Below are 12,682 nucleotides of genomic sequence, written 5' to 3' on the forward strand. Positions count from 1 at the left end.
GTTTTGGTTTGGTTTGTTCTTGTTTCTCTAGTTCCTTGAGGTGTGACCTTAGAGTGTCAATTTGTGCTCTTTCAGTCTTATTGATGTAGGCATTTAGGGCTATGAGCTTTCTTGTTAGCACTGCCTTTGCTGTATCCCAGAGGTTTCCATAGGTTGTGTCATTATTGTTGTTGAGTTCGAAGAATTTTTAAATTTCCATATGATTTTTGTTTTTGACCCAATGTTCATTCAGGAGCAGGTTATTTAATTTCCATGTGTTTGCATGGTTGTGAAGGCTCCTTTTGGAGTTCATTTCCAGTTTGATTCCACTGTGGTCTGAGAAAGTGCTTGATATAATTTCAATTTTCTTAAATTTACTGAAGCTTGTTTTATGGCTTATCATATGGTCTATCTTGAAGATAGTTCCATGCACTGTTGAATAGAATGTGTGTTCAGCCATTGTTGGATGAAATGTTCTGTACAGATCTGTTAAGTTCATTTGTTCCAAGGTATAGTCTAATCCTTTGTTTCTTTGTTGACTTTCTACCTTGATGACGTGTCTAATGCTGTCAGTGGAGTACTGAAGTCCCCCACTATTACTATGTTGCTGCCTATCTCATTTCTTATGTCTATTAGTAATTGTTTTATAAATTTGGGAGCTCCAGTGTTAGGTGCCTATGTGTTTAGGAATGTGATATTCTCCTCTTGGACAAGGCCTTTTACCATTATATAATGTCCCTCTTTGTCTCTTTTAACTGCTGTTGCTTTAAAGTTTGTTTTGTATGATGCAAGAATAGGTACCGCTGCTTGCTTTTGGTGTCCATTTGCATGAAATGCCTTTTTCCACCCCTTTACTTTAAGTTTGTGTGACTCCTTTTGTGCTAGATGGGTCTCCTGAAGGCAGCAGATGTTGGTGAGTTGTTATCCATTCTGTGGTTCTATATCTTTTAAGTGCATCATTTAGGCCATTTGCATTCATTGTTGGTATTGAAATATGAGGTACCATTGCATTCACTGTGCTTTTAATTTCCTGTGTACTTTCTTTATTTTGCTTTTTAACTTGTATTTTTGTTTTATAGGTCCTGTGTGATTTATTCTTTAAAGAGGTTCTGTTTTGATGTGTTTCCAGGATTTGTTTCAAGATTTAGAGCTCCTTCTGGCAGTTCTTGTAGTGGTGCTTTGGTAATGGTGAATTTTCTCAGCATTTGTCTGAAAAAGACTATATCTTTTCTCCATATATGACGCTTTGTTTTGCTGGATACAAAATTCTTGGCTGATAATTGTTTTATTTGATGAGGCTATAAAGATAGGGCCTCAATCTCTTCTAGCTTGTAGGGTTTCTGCTGAGAAATCTGCTGTTGATCTGGTAAGTTTTCCTTTATAGGTTACCTGGTGCTTCTGTCTCACAGCTCTTAAGACTCTTTCCTTCATCTTAATTTTGGATAACCCGATGAAAATGTGCCTAGGCAAAGATCTTTTTGTGATGAATTTCCCAGGTGTTCTTTGTGCTTCTTGTATTTGCACGTCTAGGTCTCTAGCAAGGCTGGGGAAGTTTTCCTCAATTATTCCCCTAAATGTGTTTTCCAAGCTTTTAGAATTCTCTTCTTCCTTAGGAACACCAATTATTCTTAGGTTTGGTCATTTAACGTAATTTTAGACTTCTTGGAAGCTTTGTTGATATTTTCTTACTCTTCTTTCTTTGTCTTTGTTGGATTGGATTAATTCTAAGACCTTGTCTTTGAGCTCTGAATTTCTTTCTTCTTGTTCAATTCCATTGTTGAGACTTTCCAGAGCACTTTGCATTTCTAAAAGTTTGTCCAAAGTTTCCTAATTTTGTATTTTTTTTTCTTAAAGCTATCTATTTCCTTGAATATTTCTCCCTTCACTTCTTCTTTCATGTTTTGGATTCCCTTGCAATGGGCTTCACCTTTCTCTGGTCCCTCCCTGATTAGCTTAATAACTAACCTACTGAATTCTTTGTCAGGTAAATCAGGGATTTCTTCTTGGTTTGGATCCATTGCTGGTGAACTAGTGTGATTTTCTGGGGGTGTTGAAGAGCCTTGTTTTGTCATATTACCAGCATTGGTTTTCTGTTTCCTTCTCATTTGGGTAGGCTCTGTCAGAGGGAAGATCTATGTCTGAAGGCTGTTGTTCAGACTTTTTTGTCCCATGGGGTGTTCCCTTGATGTAGTACTCTCCCCCTTTTCCTGTGGATGTGGCTTCCTGTGAGCCAAGAGCAGTGATTGTTGTCTCTCTTCTGGGTCTAGCAACCCAGCTATTCTACCCGGCTCTGGACTAGTACTGTGGGTTGTCTGCACAGAGTCCTGTGATGTGAACTGTCTATGGTCTCTCAGCCATGGATACCAGTGCCTTCAGCTTCTCCTGTGGAGGTGTGTGATCAGGAGAGGGGAGTCTCCCTTTCCACTTCCACAGTTGGGGCACTCACAGTTTTGGAAGGGTCTCGGATCCTTCAGGAGCAGTCCACTTCCTTCAGAAGGTCTGTGTCTGATCTCAGGTCTCCAGGTCATGTCCCTGGTGCTGCCTGATCTGCATCCAGTGTGAGCAGGAGTTGCCGCGGGCTCCACTCTGACTTTTTAAGTAACAGCCATTCTGACTTGTGTAAGGTGGCATCTCAGTGTGGTTTAAATTTACATTTCTCTTATGATTCATGATATTGAGAATTTTTTCATGTGTTGGTTGACCACTTGTATTTCTTCTTTTGAGAAACATCTGCTCATATCCTTTGCCCAGTTTCTAATGGGGTTGTTCGTTTTCTTTCTGTTGATTTGTTTGAGTTCGTTATAGATTCTAGATATTAATTCATTTTCAGAAGCATAATTGGTAAATAATTTCTCCCATTCTGTAGATTGTCTGCTTATCCTGTTGATTATTTCTTTTGCTGTGCAGAAACATTTTGGTTTGATTAAGTCCCATTTGTCTATTTTTGCTTTGTTGCATTTGCTTTTGGGGTCTTCATTATAAATCCTTTGCCTAGGCTAATGTCCAGAAAAGTTTTTCCAGGCTTTCTTTTAGGATTTTTATAGTTTAAGTCTTATGTTTAGGTCTTTAATCCATCTTGAGTTAATTTTTGTATGTGATGAGAAATAGGGATCCAGTTTCATTCTTCTGCATATGGCTAGCTAGTTACCCAGCACCATTTATTGAATAGGATGTCCTTTCTGCATTGTTATTTTTGTTAGCCTTATTGAAGATCAGTCAGATGTAGGTATGTGGCTTTATTTTGGGGTTCTCTATTCTGTTCCATTGATCTGTGTCTATTTTTGTATCAGTATCATGCTGTTTTAGTTACCATAGCCTTGTAGTATAATTTGAAGTCAGGCGATGTGATGTCTCCAGATTTGTCCTTTTCCTTAGGAGTACTTTGGCTATTCGGGCTTTCTCTTGGTTCTATGTAAACTTTAGGATTTTTTTTTTTAATTATGTGAAAAATGATGTTACTAATTTGTTAGGAATTACATTAAGTCTATAGATTGCTTTGGGAATATGGTCATTTTAACAATATTGACTCTTCCAACTCATGAGCATGGAATGTTTTTCCATTTATTGGTGTTATCTACAATTTAAAGAAATTAAAGCATCACTGTTTTGTAGTTCTCCTTGTAGAGATCTTTCACCTCCTTGGTTAAATATATGTCTAGGTATTTTTTGTGCGGCTATTTTAAATGGCCTTAAGTTCCTGATTTGGTTCTCAGATATATCATTGTTGGTGTATGAAAAATGCTACTGATTTGAGTATGTTGATTTTGTATCCTGAGACTTACTAAAGTCACTAACCAGGCCTAGAAGACTTCTAGAGGAGTCTTTAGGGTTTTTTAGGTATATGATCATGGCATATACCTGTTCATCTCATTGAACAGAGATAAGTTGACTTCCTCTTTTCCAATTTGGATGCCTCTTATTTCTTTCTCTTGCCTGATAGCTCTAGCTAGGACTTTCAGTGCTATGTTCAATAGGAGTAGTGAGACTGAACATCCTTGTCTTGTTCCAATTCTTAGGGGAAATGTTTCAACTTTTCCCCATTCAGCGTGATGTTGGCTGTGGGTTTGTCATATATGACTGTTATTATTTTGAGGTATGTTTCATTTATGCCTAGTCTGCTGAGGGTTTTTTTTTTAATCACGAAAGGATGTTGGATTTGATGGAATTCTTTTTCTGCATCTATTGAGATGATCATATGGTCTTTGTGCTTAGTTCTGCTTATGTGGTGGATCATGTTTATTGATTTGTGTATATTGAGCCATCCTTGCTTCCCTGATCATGGTGAATCATTTTTTCATGTGCTGTTGTAGTTTACCAGTATTTTGTTGAGGATTTTTGCATCTATGTTCAGCAGAAATATTGGCCTGTAGTTTTCTTTTTTGTTGTTGTTGTGTCCTTGCCTGATTTTGATAAGCATGGTGATGGTGGATTCATAGAATGAGATGGGAAGGGAGCCCTCCTCTTCGATTTTTTTTTGGAATAGTTTCACCAAGATTGGTACCACCTCTTCTTTGTACATCTGGTAAAATTTGGCCATGAATCCATCTTGTCCTGGGCTTTTTTTATCGGGAGATTTTTTTTATTATTGGTTTAATTTCATTACTTGTTATTGGTCTGTTCAGGGTTTCTATTTCTTCCTGGTTTAATCTTGGGGGTTGTATGTTTCCAGGAATTTATTCATTTTCTTTAGGTTTTCTAGTTTGTGTGAATAGAGGTATTCACAGTAGTCTTTGATGATCTTTTCTGTTTCTCTGGTAACAGTTGTGATGTCATCTTTATCATTTCTAGTAATTATGTGAATCTTTCTTTTTTCCTTAGTCTAGCTGGTGGTCTGTCAATTTTGTTTAGCCTTTCAAAGGATCAACTTTTCATTCATTGATCCTTTCTATTGTTTTTTTTTTTTTTTTTTTTGGCCTGAATCTCCTTTATTTTTGCTGTGATCTGTGTTGTTCTTTTCTTCTGATAGCTTTTATTTTATTTTGCTCTTGTTTTTCTAGTACCTTCAAGTGTGATGTTAAATTGTTAATTTGAGAGCTTTCTATCTTTTTGATGTAAGCATTTAATGCTATAAACTTTTCTCTTAGCACTGCCTTTGCTATATCCTAGGAGCTTTGGTATGCTGTGTCTTTATTTTTATTTGTTTTGCATTTTTTTAATTTCTGCCATTATTTTATTGTTTACACAAAAGCTGTTCAGGAGAAAGTTGTTTAGTTTCCATGTACTTGTATAGTTTTGAAAGCTTCTCCTTAGTATTGATTTCCAATCTTACTCCACTGTGGTCCAAGAAGCTACTTGATATGATTTCAATTTTTTTGAATTTATTGAGACTTCCCTTTTGGACAAGCATACAGTTAATTTTGGAGACTGTTTCATGCACAGATGAGAAGAATGTATATTCTGCAGTTGTTGGGTATAATGTTCTATAAATGTCTATTAGGTCCTTTTGCTCCACAGTCCAATTTAAGTCCAGAGTTTCCTTGTTGATTTTCTGCCTTGATTATCTGTCTAGTAATATAAGTGGGGTGTTGAAGTCCACCACTATTATTGTATTGCTATTAATCTGTTTTCCTAGGTCTAGTAGTATTTATTTTGTAAAGCTGGGTGCTTCCGTATTGGGTTAATATATACTTGGGATAGTTGAATCTTCTTGTTGTATTGAGCCTTTTATCATTACACAATGCCTTTGTCTTTTTTTTTTAACTGTTGTTGGTTTAACGTCTGTTTTATCTAATATGAGAATGGCTATTCCTGCTTGCTTTTCTTTTCCATTTGTGTGATATATCTTTTTCTACCTTTTTACTTTAAGTCTGAATGCATCTTTACTCAGTAGGTGAGTCTCTTGTAGACAGAAGATGGCCATGTCTTTTTTAAAATCCTATTTGCCATTCTACATCTTTTAAGCAGGGCATTGAGGCATTTATGTTAAAAGTTAATGTTGATACGTGAGATTTTGTTCTTGATGTAATGTTGTTAGCTAGTTCTTTTGAGGTTTCTATTGTGCAGTTGCTTTACAAGATCTGTGAGCTTTGTACTTATGTATCTTTTTCTGTGTTGTCCTTTTGTTTCTATGTTTAGAAATCCTTTGAAAATTTCTTGTAGGACCAGGCTAATAATGACAAATTCTCTTAGTGTTTTCTTGTCTGGGAAAGACTTTCTCCTTCATTTATGAAGCTCAGTTTGGCAGGATATAAAATTCCAGCTGGCATTTTTTCTTCTTTAAGGAGGCTAAAAATAGATCCTCATCTTTTCCGTTACAGGGCTTCTGCCAAGAAGTCCACTGTTAGTCTAACCAGTTGTCCTTTGTAGGTGCTTTGACTCTTTTCTCTAGCTGGCTTTAATTTTTTTTTTTTTTTTTTTTTTTTTTTTTTTTTTTTTTTTAGTATGGACTTTGGATGATCTGGTGACTACATGAGTTGGTGACGTTTGGCTTGTATGAACTCTCACAAGTGTTCTCTAAATTTATCCGAATCTCTGGTAATATCTGGATGTCTACCATTCAAGCAAGATTGGGGAAATTTTCTTGAATTATTCTCTAAAATATGTTTTTCAAGTTGTTTACTTTTTCTCCTTCTCTATCAAGAATTCCAATAATGTGTAGGTTTGGTCACTTTACATAATCTCATACTTCTCATAGACTTCGTCATCTTAATGGAAGACAAACTCTTATATTATCTAGTCTTTCAGCCTGCAATCTCTTTGCTGTCCCAGGACTCTTCCCTGTCATTAACTAGCATCTCATTAGGTAAGCCTTCCTATTGCTAACCATCTCTGCTGGAATATTTCTTCATTATTTCATTATTTTTAAAGTTAAATTACAAGCCCAGCAGGTTAGCAACTGCACCTGGTTGGCTTTCTCTATTACCTAACATTTCTATTAGTACTTAATGTATTTTTCTTTACTTTCCTTTAGTATTCATTTCTTTGGCAATACAATTGAGAACTGATATTACCACAGATATTAAAAATCATCAATTTCCAAGGCCTCCTTAGCAGATATTATCTGTTCTTTGGTGGGCTAAGTGTTAAGTGGGATCAGAGAATGTTAGAGAAAAAACTCAACTCAGCAGCAATAGAGAAGCATCAGGAAGTGATGGAAAGAATAAATTCATGCTTGAAGAAATCTGACTTTGAGCTTTAAATTTGCTGTGTGACCTTGGACAAGTCCCTTGAGCATTCTAGGACCCTGTAAAATTAAGTCAGTTAGATATGTCCCAATATTCCAGAATTCTGATATCTTACTTTACAAAAAAAAAGAGAGAGACATTTACTCCAAGAATAATTTTGAGGGAAGTCACCACCAAAATTAAAGATTCCCTTTTTTATAGCCAAACTAAATATTTAGCTTATGCTATTCTCATCCTGTTTCTCGGATTGTATAGCTGTTTGTAATTCTCTTCTCATTTTCTATTTTAGCATATATATATGTATATGTGTATATATGTATATATGTACATATATACGTATATGTGTATATATGTATATGTACATATATACGTATATGTGTATATATGTATATATGTACATATATATGTATATGTGTATATATGTATATGTGTATATATGTATATATGTACATATATGTATATGTGTATATATGTATATATGTACATATATGTATATGTGTATATATACGTATATATGTACATATATGCATATGTGTATGTGTATATATACGTATATATGCACATATATGCGTATGTATATGTGTATATATACGTATATATGTACATATATACGTATATGTATATATGTGTGTATATATATAATCTCTCTCTCTCTCTCTCTCTCTATATATATATATATATAGAGAGAGAGAGAGAGAGAGAGAGACAAACAGAGAGAGAGAGAGAGAGAGAGACAGGGTCAAACTTTTTTGTCCAGGCTGGAGTACAGGGGTTCAATCTAGGCTCACTGTAGCCTTGACCTCCCAGGTTCAGGTAATCCTCCCACCGCAACTTCCCAAGTAGCTGGGAATACAGGCATGCGCCACCATGCCCAGCTAATTTTTGTATTTTTAAATAGAAACAGGGTTTACCATGTTGCCCAAGCTGGTCTCGAACTCCTAGGCTCAAGTCTTCCACCTGCCTTGGCCTCTCAAAGGATTATAGGCATAAGCCACTGCACCTGGCCAGCATATACTTTAAAAAAAAATTATTTATTTTTCTTTTTTTGAGACAGAGTTTCACTGTTACCCACGCTGGAGTGCAGTGGCACAATCTCAGCTCACGGCAACCTCCACCTCCCAGGTTCAAGCGATTTTCCTGCCTCAGCCTCCCAAGTAGCTGGGATTACAGGCACCTGCCATCCCACCCAGCTAATTTTTGTATATTTTTAGTAGAGTTTTGCCATATTGGCCAGGCTGTTCTTGAACTCCTAACCTTAAGTGATCCACCTGATTCGGCCTCCCAAAGTGCCGGGATTACAGGCATGAGCCACTGCGCCCAGCCCCAGCATATACTTTTATAATCAACACATTTCCTCATTTATCTCCAATCTACCTTAATATTTTTACTATATCTTTGTTTTCCTTTGCTTTTTTCATGTGCCATTTGTTTCTCCATTAATAGATTCTTAACTTCTTCTCTTTTGAATTAGTCTTCCCACCACCTTGCTTTGTGATGGAATTTCTAAAAAATATTAGGCAAAGTTGTCATGGTGGTGATGCTTCCATTTTTCTTTACCATTAAGTAAGGACTATAAATTTCCTGTGTCCATAGCTTAATTTCTGTTTTGCTGTGAGTAAAAGTATACTTTGAAAGTACAATTTTTAGAATGATTATGAATGTAGAAATATAAATGCTTGCATTTTAAATTATTATTTGATGGATAACCAAGTCTAGTTCCTACAAAAACACTCTTCTCCTCAAATTCATATGTACCTTCATTTCACATTTTGTCTGTCTTCTAATTTGCCTATAATTTCTCTTTAGACAATTTTTTTCATTTTATCCCCCTTTAGATCTTTAATTCCAACTTTCCAACCTCTTATTCCTCTCTTCCTTTTTAAGTGTAATGCCATCGCACATATATCCTTCCCACACGTGTCTTCAAGTCTTTTTCCCAACATGGAGAGACAGAGCTGACCCTAGGCGAAACTGTGAAGGAAATTTCTCTTTCTTTGCCCTTTCCCCCTCCACTCAGAATTGTCCTTCCTTTTCCTTTTGCATCACCATCTTCTACAGGTCTCTCTTGTCCCTCTGGTTGGTTATAATGGATTCAGGTTGGCCTCTGTATTGTCCCAAATTTTGGACTTTCTCTGACCTCACTCTGCCGTGAAGACTTATCTGTTCTGGTTTCCATTTGTTTAAGGTGCACTTAAGATCTGAATCATTCCCTGTCCCAAAATGAACTAATGGCTCATGTATTCTCCCTCCCTAGGAAAAGTATAGTTACCAGAGTTTATTTAGGGGTTTTGACTAGATGGGAATAATGCAAGGTGTCATGCTTGAAAAACTTTTAATATCTGACTTACATCTCCCCTAAATATTTCACCATGTCCACAAACACTGACTAAAATGAAGAGAAACCCCAAAGGAGAAAATTGATATACCTACTACTTTCAAAATGAGGAAAAAAATTTGTCATTAAAATTTCTAAAGATAAAATTTCTCAATGAAAAACAAACATCTTCACCTGAGATTTGGGTGTTTTTTTTTCCTATAACTTTTTTTACACAAAATAGAGTTGTAAAAGAAACAGACCTCAGCATTCAGATTATTGACAATAACACGTACAGATTTTAGTTCCTCTGTGTTTTTGTTTTTAGCTATTGAATTTTTATCACTTACAAACTTGACTGTACGTGGATTTCTTCCTTTTACCCACAGTATCTTCTCCTGAATTTCCTTTCATTATTAATCTGCATAAAATATGACACACATTGCCTCAAATCCCTCACTAATCTATTTGCTAAGTGTGTCAGTATTATAAAGCACTTTGAAATACATTAGCACATTTGGTACTTCCCCCAATGAGTTAGATGTGGCAGGCTTCATGCCACATCTAACTAATCATGTCACGTCTAACTCATCATGCCACATCATGGTGGGAAAAACAGTGCTTAGAGAAACTGTCTTAAGCTACTTAAGTTACATGAGGAGCAGTGGCAGGGGCCCCAACTCGCATGCTCTGACCACATGACCACATCCACACACCCAGGATCCTTTCCCTGCTTATGCCACACAGAATCAACCACATGATAATTATGGGGAGGTTTTCTTCTGTGCTTTTTTTTTTCCAGTTAAAAAACAAATAAAAACATGAATGAGTTTATAATTTTATATTCAAACCCCACACCCATGCAATCACATGCCTTAGAATTTTAAAACCCTACCCACAAAATTCACAAGGGTAAATGAACATCTACTTCCTCCTCTTACTACACACATCAAAACACTCAAGTAAAGTGTCAGGCAATCCAAGCAAGCCTGGAGCGAGATAAGGTGCATAGATAAAGTGCTGGTTTCTGTGTGATGCATATTATTTGCATAATATTTACATTACTCATTCAAGGCTGGGAATTACCACTTTAAAATAAAGTATATTGAATACCTTTTTGGATTTCCCCGATTTTCAAACATTCTTCTGAATATATAACAACTCCCAGAAACCAATTCCTTTCTCAATCATCCTGGGAGCCATCTGATGAGGATCTAATAGCTAACTTTGTAATTAGAACGCAAACATTAATGTAAGAGTACAAAAAAGACGTTGCAATGAGCAAGAGAAGATAGATTGTAGTAGTAAAGCTAAGTGATTCAATAATATTCTTAAAACATAGCACATATACATACTCTTGTTTGGTATTCCCAGTAAATGATTTTTAGATACTAAAATTTCTCAGTAGCTTTTCTATACTAATAGCCTTCAAACTATTTCTGTTCTGTATTTTACCTTTCAACCAAACTTTCTATGGCTTTCAGTTTTCCAGTATATTTCTTCCCATTTATTGTACATTTCAAATAATACTTTTCTTTCCTCTATCCCATTTTTAACTACATTAAGAAAAATTCTGAAAGCCTTTTGGCTTGAAACCAGAATTCAACGTTCCAGTTCAGCCAGTAATGAGTCATGTTCTTTTTTTTTTGCCCAGGGCATGTCCTGGTTTACTCTTTAATTTACTGAAATGAAAAGGCTGCTTTTGGGGGCATGTTAAGACTCGCTCCATTAGCTATAAGACAGATAGGGGGATGAATTCTAAATATCTTACTTCCTGCTTTGGAAAATGCCTTTAAACTCTTCTGTTTTCACTTCTCATTAAGATCACATTTTAGGATTACCTGGCGTATTGCCCCATGACCCATACTCCCACACTTTTTTTTAACTCACCGGCTGCCTTTTTACACCTAGCCAATTTTTCCAGACCAGGATCTGAAGCTGATGAAACAGGGAAGCCATCCTTCAAATGCCCCAAATGAGAGATTTCCTCTTCTTTTCTCCACTCCACAAATGAAGAACTGATGCCCCGTCCAACTTGCTGTATGTCAGTGTATCAGTACCCCTTTCACGGCATAGCTTCCTTGAGGGCTGGGGTAAGAAACCCACAGTTCTTCTGTTTCTGCTGGATTTTTCCCTGTGGTTAATCCTTAACCAAGAGGCACTTCTCAATCAACTCTTCTTCCAAAAGAAGGACCCAGATCAGTATCTTTGGGTGGCTTATGCTTATTTTAAAATAATATCCAGTTGCTGCTTGTTGCACGAAGTCCAGACTCAAGAGAGAATGAGCATCATTCAGATAATGCCTCACTGAAAAAAAAAAAAAAGCAGCAGCTGAACCCACACCTCCTACTCTCCATGAAATTAATTGCCTATCCACACCTTAGAGAACATGTCACCTGCACTGGATGCGTCACAGGGACTAGGGGGTGGGACCTTTGCAAGGCCAGTAGGACTTGTCCTACATTCTCTTGTCTTCTTTCCTGCACACAGTGTCTGCTCTAGCAGAGGCAGGGCACAGAGAGCATTTCACAGACACTGGGCCCAGTGACTCTTTAATATTAAAGTGTCATTAAAATGATTTAAGTCAATAAGGCCAGAGCTTAGCTGCAAAGCTCTGAGCCTCAGCCCATCATTAGATATACTAGGGAAAGTGTCCACCTTTAACCTAAAGTTGAATGTTTCGATTTTGGGGGAAGAAACTATGTTGGCCAGGTCCCACCTTTCATCACAATGTACTAGGTTAAGCACAGGGCAGAAAAGGAAAGGTAGGCTGTAGGGGACATAAATTACAAACTGGAGTCCCTCAATTCGTGAGTGGAGATTCACGTGTCTATTACAGACAAGCCACATTGTTTCAGGCTCTTATAGTGAAAGGGGACACAGGCTGATCCAAGACATTTCTATTTCCTCTTTCCATGATACATTCCTCCCTCTCTAAGATCCTGCCTTTCAAAGTTATCCCCAAGTTGACATCTTCAATGAAGCCTTTTTGGATATATCCCATAGGATAGATTCTCTTGCCTTTGAATCATTCTTTGTTGCCCTCTCTCAAGGAACTTAAAGTTTTTGCATTATTTTTATTTGTGTATGTCTTATTTTTCCTACAAGATTATAAATTATTTGAGGACATGGACTATTTTATATCACAGTACTTTACATATCATTAGTGTTCAATACTTGCTGCTGAATGTAATTGAATAAACTACTGGAGCCAAGGCTAGTAGGGTGAAGCTCCCCTTTGATCCTCACACCTACCCTGACTAAT

At 36.6% G+C, this 12,682-nt stretch overlaps 1 protein-coding gene across 3 annotated transcripts in view; it reads right to left on the reverse strand.

Moving 5' to 3' along the window:
- Positions 1 to 11,794, reverse strand: part of ABCA12 (ATP binding cassette subfamily A member 12) — a 207,085-nt gene extending 195,291 nt beyond the window's left edge. For all 3 annotated transcript variants that reach the window (NR_103740.2, NM_173076.3, XM_011510951.3), the window contains exon 1: positions 11,308 to 11,794. Coding sequence is in view for 2 of the 3 variants with exons in the window: in NM_173076.3 (NP_775099.2) it covers positions 11,308 to 11,376 (69 nt within the window). In the remaining variant the exon portion in view is untranslated. The remainder of the gene's footprint in view (positions 1 to 11,307) is intronic.

The sequence above is a fragment of the Homo sapiens genome, chromosome 2, assembly GCF_000001405.40.
Source record: "Homo sapiens chromosome 2, GRCh38.p14 Primary Assembly".
Taxonomy (NCBI): Eukaryota; Metazoa; Chordata; class Mammalia; order Primates; family Hominidae; genus Homo; species Homo sapiens.